Below are 17010 nucleotides of genomic sequence, written 5' to 3'. Positions count from 1 at the left end.
ATGCCTTACGCATCTCAGGGTTATTGCTAAGAACATATATAATTATGTGGCGGCACTACACAAACACAAGAAATAGCACTATCCTTATTTACTCTTCCTGATCACATTTATATCTCTAACTTCCTGCCCATTTTCTATGTGACAGATTTGTGTTCCCATTCCCTGAGGGTTGGATTTGTTTTCTTCTCAGCAGAAGGTACAGAGGCTTGATACGGATGCATGATAGCAATAACTTCAACCCTCAGCCCAATTTTCTCTCCTTTAGGATGCCTTCCCTAGTATCAATTACATATTTTACCCACATCCCTCATCATGTAGGGTTGAGTGAAGATTTATTGTATCTAGGTTTATGTGGCTCGGATGCCATAAAAACAGCCTCCTAATACCACTGTAGTATTTTCTTCTTAAAGAATTAAAGCACTGCTTATGATACCTTATGTAGTAAAACTAAACAAAAATAGTCTTCTTTTAAACTGAAATGTCCTCACCTCTGAATTTATAACCTAAAAAAATGACATGACTATATAAAATTCCTTTTTTTTTCCAAATCACCCCAGAGGAAGCCAGGCAACATTAAAAAAAAAACCCTTTTCTTTTTTCAGACCCCTCAACATTTCTGATAAGGTTAGTCCTGGGGAAAGGAGTGACAGCCACCTAGAAATGTGTTATATCTGGTAGTTTACTACAGTATTACCTTCACTGGCTTCTGTGATTTCACACCTCAAATATACCCTAGAGAAGTCTCCAAGGCTCTCAGGAGACTAATCACAGATTGGGGAAAAACAACACTTCAGCAGGAACTCTGCTATTTCATCATTTAAAGAAATAGGCTATTTGATTTGGATCCTTAAGAAAACACATTATAATAAAGAATGGGTAAGATGTTAACTATAGATGAAGCTGGTTTTTACAACCAAGGTTTCTATATTTCCCATCCTTTTTCCCACAAGCAGCCACAGGTGGCTTATTTGATTGAAACTTATTCCCATAGGTTCAATCAACCTCAAATCAAAGATACTATCAAAGACACTTCGAAGCTCAACAAAAGGCCAACAATTCCTAATTGATACCCATCAGATCACCTGGATGGCTTTCTTAAAATCCCAAACAAAAATGCAAAGACAATGAGGTAGACAAAGTACAGTCTTTCCAACAAACTGTGCTGGAACAACTGAAAATCCATATGGCAAAAACATGAGTCTCAATCTCTTATATCACATATAAAAATTAACTCAAAATTGATCATACATCCAATTGCAAGAACTAAAAATATTAACTTCATTAATACAAGGCAAAAACTAAAGGAGAAATAGACAAACCCACTATATATTTATATTTATAGTTGAGGCTTCAACATCCTTCTCTCAGTAACTGATTAAGCAGGCAGAAAAATCAGTAAGGATACAGATGACTTGAACAGCACTATCAACTAAGTTTTGATCTAATTTATATTTATAGAACATTCCATCCAACAGCAGAAGAGCACATGGAACAGTCACCAAGATAGAACACAATCTGGGACATAAAACACACCTGAACAAATGTAAAAGAAGAGAAATAATAGAAAGTATATTTTTAGACCACACCAGAATTAAACTGAATCAATAACTGAAAGATAGTTGGGTAACTGGAAATATTTGAAAAATACCCAACACACTTCTAAATAACACATAGATTAAGAAGTCTCAGGAGAAATTTAAAAATATTTTGAACTAAGTAAAAGTTAAAGTATATATATATCTTGCACAACAATGTGAATGTACTTAATAGCACTGAAATGTATACTTAAAATGGTTAAGATGATAAATTTTGTTATGTGTATTTTACAATTAAAAATAATTTTTAAAAACACAACATCAAAATTTATGGGATGCCGCTAAAGTAATGTTTAGAGAGAAACTTATAGCAGTAAAAGCATATTTTAGAAAAGAAGAAAGACCTAAAATCAATAACCTATGCTTCCTCCTTGGGAAACTAAGGAAAACGAATTTAAACCTAAAGCAAGAAGGAAGGAAATGACAGACCACTAACCAAGAAAAAATAAAAAGTGAAGACACAAATTGCCAGTATCAAGAATAAAAGAGGTTATCACTATTAATCCCATGGACAGCAAAAAGATAATAAAGGAATACTATGAGTAAATCTGTGCCTATAAATGTGATTAATTATATAAAATGGACCAGTTCCTTCAAGTGCACAAACTATTAAAACTCCCTCAAGGGGATATAGATAATGAATAATCCTATACCTGATAAAGCAATAAAATTAGTAGTGAAATTAGAAAAGAAACTTTCCCAAAAAGGAAAACAACAGACTCAGATGGTTTCACTGGTGAATTCCACCAAACATTTAAGGAAGAAATAATACCAATTCTATAATCTCTCCCAGAAAGTAGAAGAGTAGGGATCATCGCCCAATTCATTCTGTAAGGCTAGCATTAACCTAACACCAAAACTAGATAAAGAATTTCCTCAACCTAATAAGGACTATTTTTAAAAAGTCACAGTTAATATCATACTTAATAGTGAGAGACTTAAAGAGGGTTGAGCCAAGATGGCTGAATAGGAACCGTTCCAGTCTACAGCTCCCAGCATGAGCAACACAGAAGACGGGTGATTTCTGCATTTCCAACTGAGGTACTGGGTTCATCTCACTGGGGAGTGTCAAAAAGTGGGTGCAGGACAGTGGGTGCAGCGCACCCAGCATGAGCCGAAGCAGGGCGAGGCATCACCTCACCCGGGAAGTGCAAGGGGTCAGGGAATTCCCTTTCCTAGTCAAAGAAAGGGGTACAGACGGCACTTGGAAAATCAGGTCACTCCCACCCTAATTCGGCACTTTTCCAATGGTCTTAGCAAACGGCACACCAGGAGATTATATCCCGCACCTGGCTTGGAGGTTCCTATGCCCACGGAGCCTCACTCACTGCTAACACAGCAGTCTGAGATCAAACGGCAAGGTGGCAGCCAGGCGAGGGGAGGGGCGCCCGCCATTGCCAAGGCTTGAGTAGGTAAACAAAGCGGCCGAGAAGCTCGAACTGGGTGGAGCCCAGTGCAGCTCAAGGAGGCCTGCCTGCCTCTGTAGACTCCACCTCTGGGGGCAGGGCATAGCCAAACAAAAGGCAGCAGAAACCTCTGCAGACTTAAATATCCCTGTCTGACAGCTTTGAAGAGAGTAGTGGTTCTCCCAGTACGCAGTTTGAGATCTGAGAACGGACAGACTGCCTCCTCAAGTGGATCCCTGACCCCTGAGTAGCCTAACTGGGAGGCACCCCCCAGTAGGGGCAGTCTGACACCTCACATGGTCGGGTACTCCTCTGAGACAAAACTTCCAGAGGAACAATCAGGCAGCAACATTTGCTGTTCAGCAATATCGCTGTTCTGCAGCCTCCACTGCTGATATCCAGGCAAACAGGGTCTGGAGTGGACCTCCAGCAAACTCCAACAGACCTGCAGCTGAGGGTCCTGACTGTTAGAAGGAAAACTAACAAACAGAAAGGACATCCACAACAAAACCCCATCTGTACGTCACCAACATCAAAGACCAAAGGTAGATAAAACCACAAAGATGGGGAAAAAACAGAGCAGAAAAACTGGAAACTCTAAAAATCAGAGCGCCTCTCCTCCTCCAAAGGAACACAGCTCCTCACCAGCAACGGAACAAAGCTGGACGGAGAATGACTTTGATGAGCTGAGAGAAGAAGGCTTCAGATGATCAAACTACTCCGAGCTAAAGGAGGAAGTTCAAACCCATGGTAAAGAAGTTAAAAACCTTGAAAAAAAATTAGATGAATGGCTAACTAGAATAACCAATGCAGATAAGTCCTTAAAGGACCTGATGGAGCTGAAAACCAAGCCACGAGAACTACATGACAAATGCACAAGCCTCAGTAGCCGATTCGATCAACTGGAAGAAAGGGTATCAGTGATGGAAGATCAAATGAATGAAATGAAGTGAGAAGAGAAGCTTGGAGAAAAAAGAATAAAAAGAAATGAACAAAGCCTCCAAGAAATATGGGACTATGTGAAAAGACCAAATCTACATCGGATTAGTGCACCTGAAAGTGACGGGGAGAATGGAACCAAGTTGGAAAACACTCTGCAGGATATTATCCAGGAGAACTTCCCCAATCTAGCAAGGCAGGCCAACATTCAAATTCAGGAAATACAGAGAACGCCACAAAGATACTCCTTGAGAAGAGCAATTCCAAGACACATAATTGTCAGATTCACCAAAGTTGAAATGAAGGAAAAAATGTTAAGGGCAGCCAGAGAGAAAGGTCGGGTTACCCACAAGGGGAAGCCCATCAGACTAACAGCGGATCTCTCGGCAGAAACTCTACAAGCCAGAAGAGAGTGGGGGCCGATATTCAACATTTTTAAAGAAAAGAATTTTCAACTCAGAATTTCATATCCAGCCAAACTAAGCTTCATAAGTGAAGGAGAAATAAAATACTTTACAGACAAGCAAATGCTCAGAGATTTTGTCACCACCAGGCCTGCCCTAAAAGAGCTCCTGAAGGAAGCACTAAGCATGGAAAGGAACAACCGGTACCAGCTGCTGCAAAAACATGCCAAATTGTAAAGACCATCAAGGCTAGGAAGAAAATGCATCAACTAACGAGCAAAATAACCAGCTAACATCAGGTTAGTGAATTTGACAGGATCAAATTCACACATAACAATATTAACCTTAAATGTAAATGGGCTAAATGCTCCAATTAAAAGACACAGACTGGCAAATTGGATAAAGAGTCAAGACCCAACAGGGTGCTGTATTCAGGAAACCCATCTCATGTGCAGAGACACACATAGGCTCAAAATAAAAGGATGGAGGAAGATCTACCAAATGGAAAACAAAAAAAATAAGCAGGGGTTGCAATCCCAGTCTCTGATAAAACAGACTTTAAACCAACAAAGATCAAAAGAAACAAAGAAGGCCATTACATAATGGTAAAGGGATCAATTCAACAAGAAGAGCTAACTACCCTAAACATATATACACCCAATACAGGAGCACCCAGATTCATAAAGCAAGTCCTTAGAGAACTACAAAGAGACTTAGACTCCCACACAATAATAATGGGAGACTTTAACACCCCACTATCCCCATTAGACAGATCAGCTATACAGAAAGTTAACAAGGATATCCAGGAATTGAACTGAGCTCTGCACCAAGCAGACCTAATAGACATCTACAGAACTCTCCACCCCAAGGCAACAGAATATACATTATTTCCAGCACCACACCACACCTATTCCAAAATTGACCATATAGTTGGAAGTAAAGCACTCCTCGGCAAATGTAAAAGAACAGAAATTGTAACAAACTGTCTCTCAGACCACAGTGCAATCAAAATAGAACTCAGGATTAAGAAACTCACTCAAAACCGCTCAACTACATGGAAACTGAACAACCTACTCCTGAATGACTACTGGGTACATAACAAAATGAAGGCAGAAATAAAGATGTTCTTTGAAACCAACGAGAACAAAGACACAACATACAAGAATCTCTGGGACACATTCAAAGCAGTGTATAGAGGGAAATTTATAGCACTAAATGCTCACAAGAGAAAGCAGGAAGGATCTAAAATTGACACCCTAACATCACAATTAAAAGAACTGGAGAAGCAAGAACAAACAAATTCAAAAGCTAGCAGAAGGCAAGAAATAACTAAGATCAGAGCAGAACTGAAGGAAATAGAGACACAAAAAACCCTTCAAAAAATCAATGAATGCAGGAGCTGGTTTTTTGAAAAGATCAACAAAATTGATAGACCGCTAGCAAGACTAATAAAGAAGAATAGAGAGAAGAATCAAACAGATGCAATAAAAAATGATAAAGGGAGGATTCCCTCTTTTTCTATTGATTGGAATAGTTTCAGAAGGAATGGTACCAGCTCCTCTTTGTACCTCTGGTAGAATTCAGCTGTGAATCCATCTGCTCCTGGACTTTTTTTGGTTGGTAAGCTATTGATTATTGCCTCAATTTCAGAGCCTGTAATTGGTCTATTCAGATATTCAACTTCTTCCTGGTTTAGTCTTGGGAGGATGTATGTGTTGAGGAATTTATCCATTTCTTCTAGATTTTCTAGTTTATTTGCATAGAGGTGTTTATAGTATTCTCTGATGGTAGTTTGTATTTCTGTGGGATCAGTGGTGATATCCCCTTTATCATTTTTTATTGCGTCTATTTGATTCTTCTCTCTTTTCTTCTTTATTAGTCTTGTTAGCAGTCTATCAATTTTGTTGATCTTTTCTAAAAACCAGCTCCTGGATTCATTAATTTTTTGAAGGGTTTTTTGTGTCTCTATTTCCTTCAGTTCTGCTCTGATCTTAGTTATTTCTTGCCTTCTGCTAGCTTTTGAATGTTTTAGCTCTTGCTTTTCCAGTTCTTTTAATTGTGATGTTAGGGTGTCAATTTTAGATCTTTCCTGCTTTCTCTTGTGGGCATTTAGTGCTATAAATTTCCCTCTACACACTGCTTTGAATGTGTCCCAGAGATTCTGGTATGTTGTGTCTTTGTTCCTAACTCATTTTATGAGGCCAGCATCATCTTGATACCAAAGGCTGGCAGAGACACAACAAAAAAAGAGAATTTTAGACCAATATCCTTGATGAACATTGATGTAAAAATCCTCAATAAAATACTGGCAAACCAAATCCAGCAGCACATCAAAAAGCTTATCCACCATGATCAAGTGGGCTTCATCCCTGGGATGCAAGGCTGGTTCAACATACACAAATCAATAAATGTAATCCAGCATATAAACAGAACCAAAGACAAAAACCACATGATTATCTCAATAGATGCAGAAAAGGCCTTTGACAAAATTCAACAACCTTCATGCTAAAAACTCTCAATAAATTAGGTATTGATAGGACATATCTCAAAATAATAAGAGCTATCTATGACAAACCCACAGCCAATATCATACTGAATGGGCAAAAACTGGAAGCATTCCCTTTGAAAACGGGCACAAGACAGGGATGCTGTCTCTCACCACTCCTATTCAACATAGTGTTGGAAGTTCTGGCCTGGGCAATCAGGCAGGAGAAGGAAATAAAGGGTATTCAATTAGGAAAAGAGGAAGTCAAATTGTCCCTGTTTGCAGATGACATGATTGTATATCTAGAAAACCCCATTGTCTCAGCCCAAAATCTCCTTAAGCTGACAGGCAACTTCAGCAAAGTCTCAGGATACAAAATCGATGTGTAAAAATCACAAGCATTCTTAAACACCAATAACAGATAAACAGAGAGCCAAATCATGAGTGAACTCCCATTCACAACTGCTTCAAAGAGAATAAAATACCTAGGAATCCAACTTACAAGGGACGTGAAGGACCTCGTCAAGAAGAACTACAAACCACTGCTCAAGGAAATAAAAGAGGATACAAACAAATGGAAGAACATTCCATGCTCATAGGTAGGAAGAATCAATATCGTGAAAATGGCCATACTGCCCAAGGTAATTTATAGATTCAATGCCATCCCCATCAAGCTACCGATGACTTTCTTCACAGAATTGGAAAAAACTACTCTAAAGTTCATATGGAACCGAAAAAGAGCCTGCATTGCCAAGTCAATCCCAAGCCAAAAGAACAAAGCTGGAGGCATCATGCTACCTGACTTCAAACTGTACTATAAGGCTACAGTAACCAAAACAGCATGGTACTGGTACCAAAGCAGAGATATAGACCAATGGAACAGAACAGAGCCCTCAGAAATAATGCCACACATCTACAACTATCTGATCTTTGACAAACCTGACAAAAACAAGCAATGGGGAAAGGATTCCCTATTTAATAAATGGTGCTGGGAAAACTGGCTAGCCATATGTAGAAAGCTGAAACTGGATCCCTTCCTTACAACTTATACAAAAATTAATTCAAGATGGATTAAAGACTTAAATGTTAGACCTAAAACCATAAAAACTCTAGAAGAAAACCTAGGCAATACCATTCAGGACATAAGCATGAGCAAGGACTTCATGTCTAAAACACCAAAAGCAATGGCAACAAAAGCCAAAATTGAAAAATGGGATCTAATTAAACTAAAGAGCTTCTGCACAGCAAAAGAAACTACCATCAGAGTGAACAGGCAACCTACAGAATGGGAGAAAATTTTTGCAACCTACTCATCTGACAAAGGGCTAATATCCAGAATCTACAATGAACTCAAACAAATTTATAAGAAAAAAACAAACAACCCTGTCAAAAAGTGGGCAAAGGATATGAACAGACACTTCTCAAAAGAAGACATTTATGCAGCCAAAAGACACATGAAAAAATGCTCATCATCACTGGCCATCAGAGAAATGCAAATCAAAACCACAATGAGATACCATCTCACACCAGTTAGAATGGCGATCATTAAAAAGTCAGGAAACAACAGGTGCTGGAGAGGATGTGGAGAAACAGGAACACTTTTACACTGTTGGTGGGACTGTAAACTAGTTCAACCATTGTGGAAGTCAGTGTGGCGATTCCTCTGGGTTCTAGATCTAGAATTACCATTTGACCCAGCCATCCCATTACTGGGTATATATCCAAAGGATTATAAATCATGCTGCTATAAAGACACATGCACACGTATGTTTACTGCGGCACTATTGACAATAGCAAAGACTTGGAACCAACCCAAATGTCCAACAATGATAGACTGGATTAAGAAAATGTGACACATATACAGCATGGAATACTATGCAGCCATAAAAAATGATGAGTTCACGTCCTTTGTAGGGATATGGATGAAGATGGAAACCATCATTCTCAGCAAACCATTGCAGGGACAAAAAACCAAACACCGCGTGTTCTCACTCATAGGTGGGAATTGAACAATGAGAACACATGGACACAGGAAGGGGAACATCACACACCGAGAACTGTTGTGGGGTGGGGGGAGGGGGGAGGGATAGCATTAGTAGATATACCTAATGCTAAATGACGAGTTAATGGGTGCAGCACACCAACATGGCACATGTATACATATGTAACAAACCTGCACATTGTGCACATGTACCCTAAAACTTAAAGTATAATGAAAAAAAATAGTGAGAGACTTGATGTTTCCCCCTTAAATCAGGAACGAGGCAAGATGTGCTCTCTCACCACTTCTACTGAACTTCATATTAAAAGTCCTAGCTAAGTGTAATAAGACAAAAAAAAAAAGAGAAAGGTATGCAGATTGGAAAGAAAGAAAGCTCTCTTTATTCACAGACAACATAATTGTCTTTCATGGTTGTCCATGGATGCAGAAAACCCCAAAGAATCTACTGAATAACTCCCGCACAGGTGAGTTTCACAAGGTTGCAAGATACAAAGTCATCCTCAGCAAACTGATGCAGGCCACATGTTCTCACTTATAAATGGGAACTGAACGATGAGAAAACATGGACACACAGAGGGGAACAACATACACTGGGGCCTGTTGGGGGGTCGGGGGAGGAAGAGCATCAGGAAGAACAGCTAATGCTGGGCTTAATACCTGGGTGATGGGTTGATCTGTGCAGCAAACTACCATGGTACACATTTACCTATGTAAAAAACCTGCACATCCTGCACATGTACCCTGGAACTTAAAGTAAATCTAAATAAATGAAGAAATATTTTGTGTTCTTGATTGAAAGATAACACAGTAAAGATGCTAATTCTCTCCAAGTTGATCTATAGGTGTAATAAAATTCATATTGAAATCCCAGCCAGGTATTTTGTAGACATATACAAGCTTATTCTAAAATTTATATGAAAAGGGAAAGGTGCTAGAAGAGCCAATTCCACTCGGAAAAGAAGAACAAAGTTGCAGGATTTACATTACCTGATTTCAAGACTTAATATAAAGCTACAACAATAAATATAGAGGGGCAAAACATTAGACACTTCAATCAATGGAACAGAATAGAGAGATTGGAAATAGACCCAGAAAAATATAGTCGACTAATTTTTGAAAAAGGTGCAAAGACAATCCAATGGAGAAAGAAAAGTTTTTTCAACAAATGATGCAAGACATCTGGATGTTTATATGAAGTGAATTCAACCTCACTCACACCTTACATAAAAATTAATTCAAAATGTATCTTAGACCTAAATATAAATGCAGAAACTATCAAACTTCTAGAAAAAAATATAGGAGAAAAGCTACATGACCTTTGGTTTGCTGATGAGTTTTTATTTTTTTGAGACAGGGTCTCACTCTGTCACCCAGGCTGGTGTGCAGTGGTGCGATCACGGCTCACTGCAGCCTTGACCTCGTGGGCTCAGGTGTTTTTCCCACCTCAGCCTCCTAAGTAGCTGGGACTACAGGCACACGCCACCACGTCTGGCTCATTTATTGTATTTTTTGTAGAGGGGGGGAGTCATTTTCAGAAATTTAGGTGTGGAGCAAAGAGGAAGGGTATATCCTATTTTATTCCCTTTATACATTTCTGTATTGTTTGAACTTTATAATTATTTTTAAATTATAAATAAAACTTTGATACTATATTTTAAAATTTCTACTAAAAAACATAGGCACAAGATCTGAACAGACACCTTGCTGAAAACATGTAGATAGTAACTAAGTATATGAAAAGATGCTCAGTATAGGGGATGTGCAAACTAAAACCATAATACGTACCATTACACATCTATTAGAATGGATTTTTTAAAAAAACTAGCAATATCAAAGTGGCAAGGATGGAGAGTAACAGGAACTCTCCTTTATGAATCACAAATGAAGGACATTTGCAATTCATGGGAGGAGGTCAAAATACCAACATTAACAGGAGTTAGGAAGAAGCTGATTCCAGCCCTCATGGATGACTTGGAGAGGTTCAAGACTTCAGTGGAGGAAGTATCTGTACATGTAGTGTAAACAGCAAGAGAAGTAGAATTAGAAGTGGAGCTGAAAATGTGACTAAATTGCTGCAATTTCATGATAAAACTTGAATGAAGGAGGGACTGCTTTTTACGGATGAGTAAAGAAAGTGGTTTCTTGATAGGGAATCTACATCTAGTGAAGATGCTGCCCTCTGATGAACTGAAAACAAAGGATTTAGAATATTCCTTAAACTTGGTTGATAAAGCAGTGGCAGGGTTTAAGAGGACTGACTCCAGTTTTGAAAGAAGTTCCACTGTGGGCAAAGTGCTATCAAACAGCATCACATGCTACAGAAAGATCTTTCATGAAAGAAGAGTCAACAATGAAGCAGTAAACGTCATTGTTATTTTAAGAAACAGTCACAGCCACCCCAGCTTTCAGCAGAAGTCTATCCCGATCAGTCAGCAGCCATCACCACTGAGGCAAGACCCTAAACCAAAACAGATTACAACTCACTGGAGGCTCAGTTGATCCTTAGTATTTTGTAGCAATATTTTAAAATTAACGTATATACATTATTTTTTTTAGACCTAATGCTACTGCACACTTAATAAACTACAGTCTAGTGAAAACATAACTATTATAGGCACTGGGAAACCACATTTGTATGACTTGCTTGATTGTGATATTCACTTTATTGTGGTGGTCTGGAACCAACCTGCAATATCTCTGAGGCATGCTTGTATAATAAATGCATGACATGACACAATCTCACTGAAGGGGATGGGGAGACTGCAGTTTAAGAAACTTTGGAAATGAATGGAAACTGTAAAAGAAAGCAACAACAACAAAAAACCCTGTACATAAGTACCGTTCTGTAGTTAGTTTTTATGGAAGTATGGGTTAATAGCTCTGATACTGCTGTATATGTATACTGGAATTGAAAAAATAAGTAAAAGGATGGTGAATGGTAGGAGCCAGATTTCTCACTATGGACTGGGAGGTTACGGATAAGTAAGGAGGAAAGGTTAGAATAAACTGTGTAGTTCTCAGTTAGATTCTAAGACATCAGGGTGAAATCCTCTTTAGCTTAAATATAGACACTGATGAGTAAACATAGAAATAAAAATATGTATGCATACACAGATTAATATACATACATATAGTTCCTACCTATGGTCACTGACACGGCCTAAAAGCAATGACACTCCAAGAGTGATGAGCATATCAGAGCAAATCTGGTTTCTAATACTATTTTCCAATAAAAGGAACCAGGGATCCTTGGTTGAAATGATTAATTTTAGGGCTAGAGCAGGGAATATACAAGATGAGCCTGGAGCATCATGTATTGCCAGAAAAGTAGGGAAGTGCTCAAAACACAGAGACTGATGAGAATGTCAAAAAGATGCAGAAGCAACAGAAAGAGCTCCCAATGGCAAAAGTGGAAACAATTTGAGTAACAAAATAAATAATGCAGTATTAAGTTAAAACTGGCCAGCAACAGAAGACCTAGAATTTAATAAAAACAGTTCAGTTTTATCTACATCTTTACAAATTTGAGGTATTTTTAAGTTGATTGTCTACATGGGAGGTCTACCACGGATCCAAGTAATAATCACTTAGAAAAGAGAATTTAGAAGGTGTAGGCTAAAAGTATAATTATTCTACAATCTCTTTATAAGAATTTAAGCTATTAAGGGCATTCACACTTTAAAAATCTGCAAGTAATTAGCAGGAGTCTGTTTTCCCTGTTTTGAACTATCTAAACGGCAGCATCAGATGGAACAGAAGAAAATGATCTAAATGACGATACTTTCCCCATGTGCACCAGGCAACAAATGCAACTAATCACAGAGAGAAGAAAACCTTCCCTGTGGTCCTTGCTTAGTATCTCTGTTTTCAAAGAGCTTTTGCTCAAAGGAAAGAAAACACTGAACTAGAGTCAGTTGATTTGTACATCCTGGCATGATAAGGCTGATTATGTTGGAGGCATGATAGAACTTTTGCAAAAAAGGCATATAGAATGAAGGAAGATGTAGAGATCAGTCAGCATGGGGGCTGAAAATACTAACTCAACTATCAGGTAGAAAGAAAGAGATAGCCATCCAATAATAATGTTCAATGGACATGGTGAAGGAGAACTTGTTCAGGTAGGCCACTGATATAAAGTATCAGAAACATAAGAAGTGTTCAAGAAATAATAGCAATGATGACAGTGAATACTATAAATTGCCCAAGTCAGGATGGTCAGCACCTAGGAGTCTTCAGGTAAAAGGAGCTAGAAAAGATATGTGTTGGCATTAGCTGCAGAACATTATCTTGGCAATGCATTAAAAATCAACTTTTTAATGGTAAAAATGGTAAAAATTTCTATAAAGGAAGTAAAATACAAAATTGTGTACAAATATGTAAAAATAAATATATACAAACTGAAACAGATTGACCAAAATACTAATGATGGGAGTATGGCTGACTTTTTTCCTTTATATGTTATTTATTCTATTATTATTATTTTGTTATTGTTATTACTCAAATGACTAAAACAAACTTTAAAAATTAGTTTTTACTAATACCTTTCATTAAAGACACATGATGGCCCAGATATCTACAGGTATCCAGGGGAAATTAATCTGGAATTAAATTAAATCTGCTGTGGTTTATACACAGGGTGGATAAAAGCTTCTGATCTTAAAACAGGAATAAGACCATTTGTTCATGGGATAGGTTAAAAATAGATACTTAATGTATACATATTCAATTCAAATAAAGAGGATGTCACATAAAAATTATGGGAGGCCATTGTTTTGGACTGAGTACTTGGACTAGGCTCAACTGGCCAGACCAAACCAGAATGGAGTCACTCATTAATGTAATTAATCAAACTCTAAAATGAGCCAATATTCCAAAAATCCAGAGATTCACAGCAATCAGTAGAGGCCCAGTTTACCTGAGCTGGCATGGTAAAGAAGTCTCCTTTGTTTGAATCCTGTAAGGAAAGTAACTTTGTAACTACCAATCTGTTTTTTGCTCCTTCTTTCTGCTTTCCTTGGCCTTTTTCTACTTATAAGTACCTCCTTTGTTCAGCTCATTGGAGTGGCTTTTGAAGTCTTTAGATGGGATGCTGCCCAATTCATGAATCCCTAATAAAAGATCTTTAAGTAAAATTTGTCAAAATTTGATTTTTAACAAGGGTCAAAAAACACAGGAGAGCTGTCCTTTGATAATAACCATTTTTAACAGAATCTACTATAGATTAAGAAAGAGACAGATTAGTAAACTAATGGAATATTCACAGTGGTGGGATTGTAAATGATTTGTGTTTCTTTTCTGCTTACTGGTATTTTCTTTCATTTTACTTTTGTTTTTGGGAAGGTCTTGCTCTGTCACCCAGGCAGGAACATACTGGCATGATCATGGCTCACTGCAGCCTCAACCTCCTAGGCTCAAGTAATCCTCCTGCCTCATTTAAAAAATTTTTTGTAGAGACAAGGTCTCACTATGTTGCCCAGGCTGGTCTTGAATTCCTGAGCTTAAGCAATCCTCCCTCCTTGGCCTCCTGGCATTACAGGTGTGAGCCACAGCACCCGACCCTTATTGGTATTTTCTACATTTTCATAGTCAATGTTTTACTTTTATGGGACTAAAAATGCAATTTTCAAATGACTATAGCTGCACTGGCTACTATTACATACATTTTTAGGAATACACTTTCATGCTACATTTTAAAACACATTCCTACCATTGTTTTTAATATCTAGTATATATTTATTTAATCTGTGGCCTGAGTTATTTGTATATAATTTCTCATAGACTATAAAGACATTTAGAATGAATAAAAAAATTGAGTATTTCCAAACAGAGATAATTTATTTATCTATTTTTCATGATCTGTGGTTTTCTTTTCAGTTATTTTAAGTCTTATGATCACACATAATTTTAAAATTTGTGTATATCTTCTCTACTTTTAAGTTGGCCAAAGCACCATTCCCAATCACGAATACACAGCAGTTCTACAGTTTTATCTTTCTGAATGGCTCTTTAAAGACCATCCTAAATTATAACTTAGTTTGACTTAGATTATAAAGAATTCAAGAGTGAAGTTTAACTTGCTACTATTTTAAAAGCATGTGACCTTATAGATCATCTATAAAATTTTAAAAGTGTTAAATGATCTTTGATATTACACACAAACCACACTAAAATGCCTTTCAATAAGTAAAAGGAACCATTTTAAATACAGTGATTCTGGTTAGATTGGCATAATTAAGGCCAAAAATATAAAGTAGACATTGCTACCTTATTTATCTTCAACCCTTGCCTTTAAGAGGCAAATGAACACAAAACACAGGTGAATCTTGCTTGGTTCTGACACAGTGAAGGAATTTCCCCAGTATTTAAATATATTCACATAACTAGTTATATAAATCTAAATATAAAACCAAACTCCAGTAAGTTTTAAGATGGCACTCACCATCTTTGTGAAAAGTTGAACATTACTAATGAAGTCTAATTATATTTTTAGAAGGGGTAAACAGTGATAGCATTTACTGAATTGGAATTACTATTAAAATTCAAACACTGAACATATTCATTTAACCACAAGCCAGTCTTAAATCAGTTTTAAATCAGGACGGCCCAATAAAATATTCTGTCAGTAATTCACGATCTGAATTCTGGTGTATGAGATCTATTAAAGTATGGTACACATAAAAAAGTCATGAGACATTTGTAATAAATAAGGCAGTGGTCAATAATTACTCACTAGTAGCTTTTTTTGAGATAAGCTATCATTTTTCTTTCTGCCTTCTTCTTAATGCCAGCAAAGATCATTTTTGTTCCAGGGATGTACTTCTTGGGATTCTCCAAATACTCCATCAGTGTATCCTCTCCCCAGGTGATGCCTTTGTTTTTATTGGCGTCTGTGTAAGAGAATCCAACGGCCTGACCTGTCTTCTGCCCGAAGAGACCATGGAGATTATGCTCAGTCTTATGCTTGCCTCCCTTTTCCACGGTGTGTCACTGGGCACACTTCTGAACAAAAATCTTCTTGCCCTTCTCAACATCACCCATATTTAATTCTTTTTTGTCGCTGGCGCAACGAAGGTTCCTACCCCGAAGCCGGACGTCCCACTCTCTCAAAACAGAGATAATTTAATAGTCAAATATATTTGCACATTAACAGTAGATCATTCTGAAGAATGATTAGCCGTAGAACTTTCTGAAGAGTTAGCTGAAAAGCTCTGCAAAGAAGAGAACTTAAAGTGCTAACTATATATCTGACTGGATAACTTTCCTTCAGCGACTTCCCCAATAGAACCCTCGTACCCTGGGATTACGGGACGGGAATGGGGCAGGAATTAAGGACCGAAAGGGGCAGGAATTAAGGATGGAAAGGAGCAGAGAAGTGGATTTTGTTCCTGGGTTCCAGTTTGGGTTTCTGAATTTATCCTGTACAGTAATTTATTAATAGTATTCTTCTGGTCCCTGTTCTAGAAAAAAAAAATTCTGTTTAAAAACAATCATGAGAGTAAAAAGCTACTTACTTACCATATATTATTAGATTAAAAATTACAAGCTACAAAAGAGAACATATCTCATTTTTATAAAAGAAACACACACATACACATATATAAAATAAGTACACATATAAAAGACTGGAAAAATATAAACTAAAATATTAACAGGGTGGATTATGGGTGGTTTTTATTCTCTACTGATATTTTCTAAATTTGACAATACATATTACTTTGAGAAGAAAACAATGTTATTTTTAAAAGACAATTATACTGCAAACTTCTTGGGAAACAGTATTGGGAACAGAATAAAATAAAAACAGTCACAACACTAATTAAATAGGCAATTTAATTCCTAAAACAGAAGACTCAAGGAAATGGAGAAAATGTAAATTCCTAGAATCTTTTCCACCTAAGAGTTGAATTAGTCTTTATAAGGTATAAAAGTAACACATTAAGATTGACTGCAAAGGCAAGATTCTAAATGAGAAAATATTTCCATGAAAGCTAACATTACCTAGATCTTCTTAAGCATATAAAATTTGGCCATGCAATCTTGTAGTAGATCCATTTAAACCATTACAATGCCTGGCACATAGTAAGTGCTCAAAATTTAATAAAAGAATGTTCTGAGTTCAAACCATATAGGACAAGGTAACTTTCCTTTTGAAGGGTAGATTGCTACAAATTACCGGATA

The 17010-nt window shown here is 37.3% G+C and overlaps 1 protein-coding gene and 1 pseudogene across 2 annotated transcripts in view; both read right to left on the bottom strand.

Moving 5' to 3' along the window:
• Positions 1–17010, bottom strand: part of PTPDC1 (protein tyrosine phosphatase domain containing 1) — a 79044-nt gene that overhangs the window by 55958 nt on the left and 6076 nt on the right. The window lies entirely within an intron of this gene.
• Positions 15354–15935, bottom strand: CYCSP24 (CYCS pseudogene 24; annotated as a pseudogene).

This window comes from Homo sapiens, chromosome 9, assembly GCF_000001405.40.
Source record: "Homo sapiens chromosome 9, GRCh38.p14 Primary Assembly".
Lineage (NCBI taxonomy): Eukaryota > Metazoa > Chordata > Mammalia > Primates > Hominidae > Homo > Homo sapiens.
The sequence above is the reverse complement of the archived record's forward strand: the minus strand, read 5'-3'. Positions and strand labels throughout refer to the sequence as shown.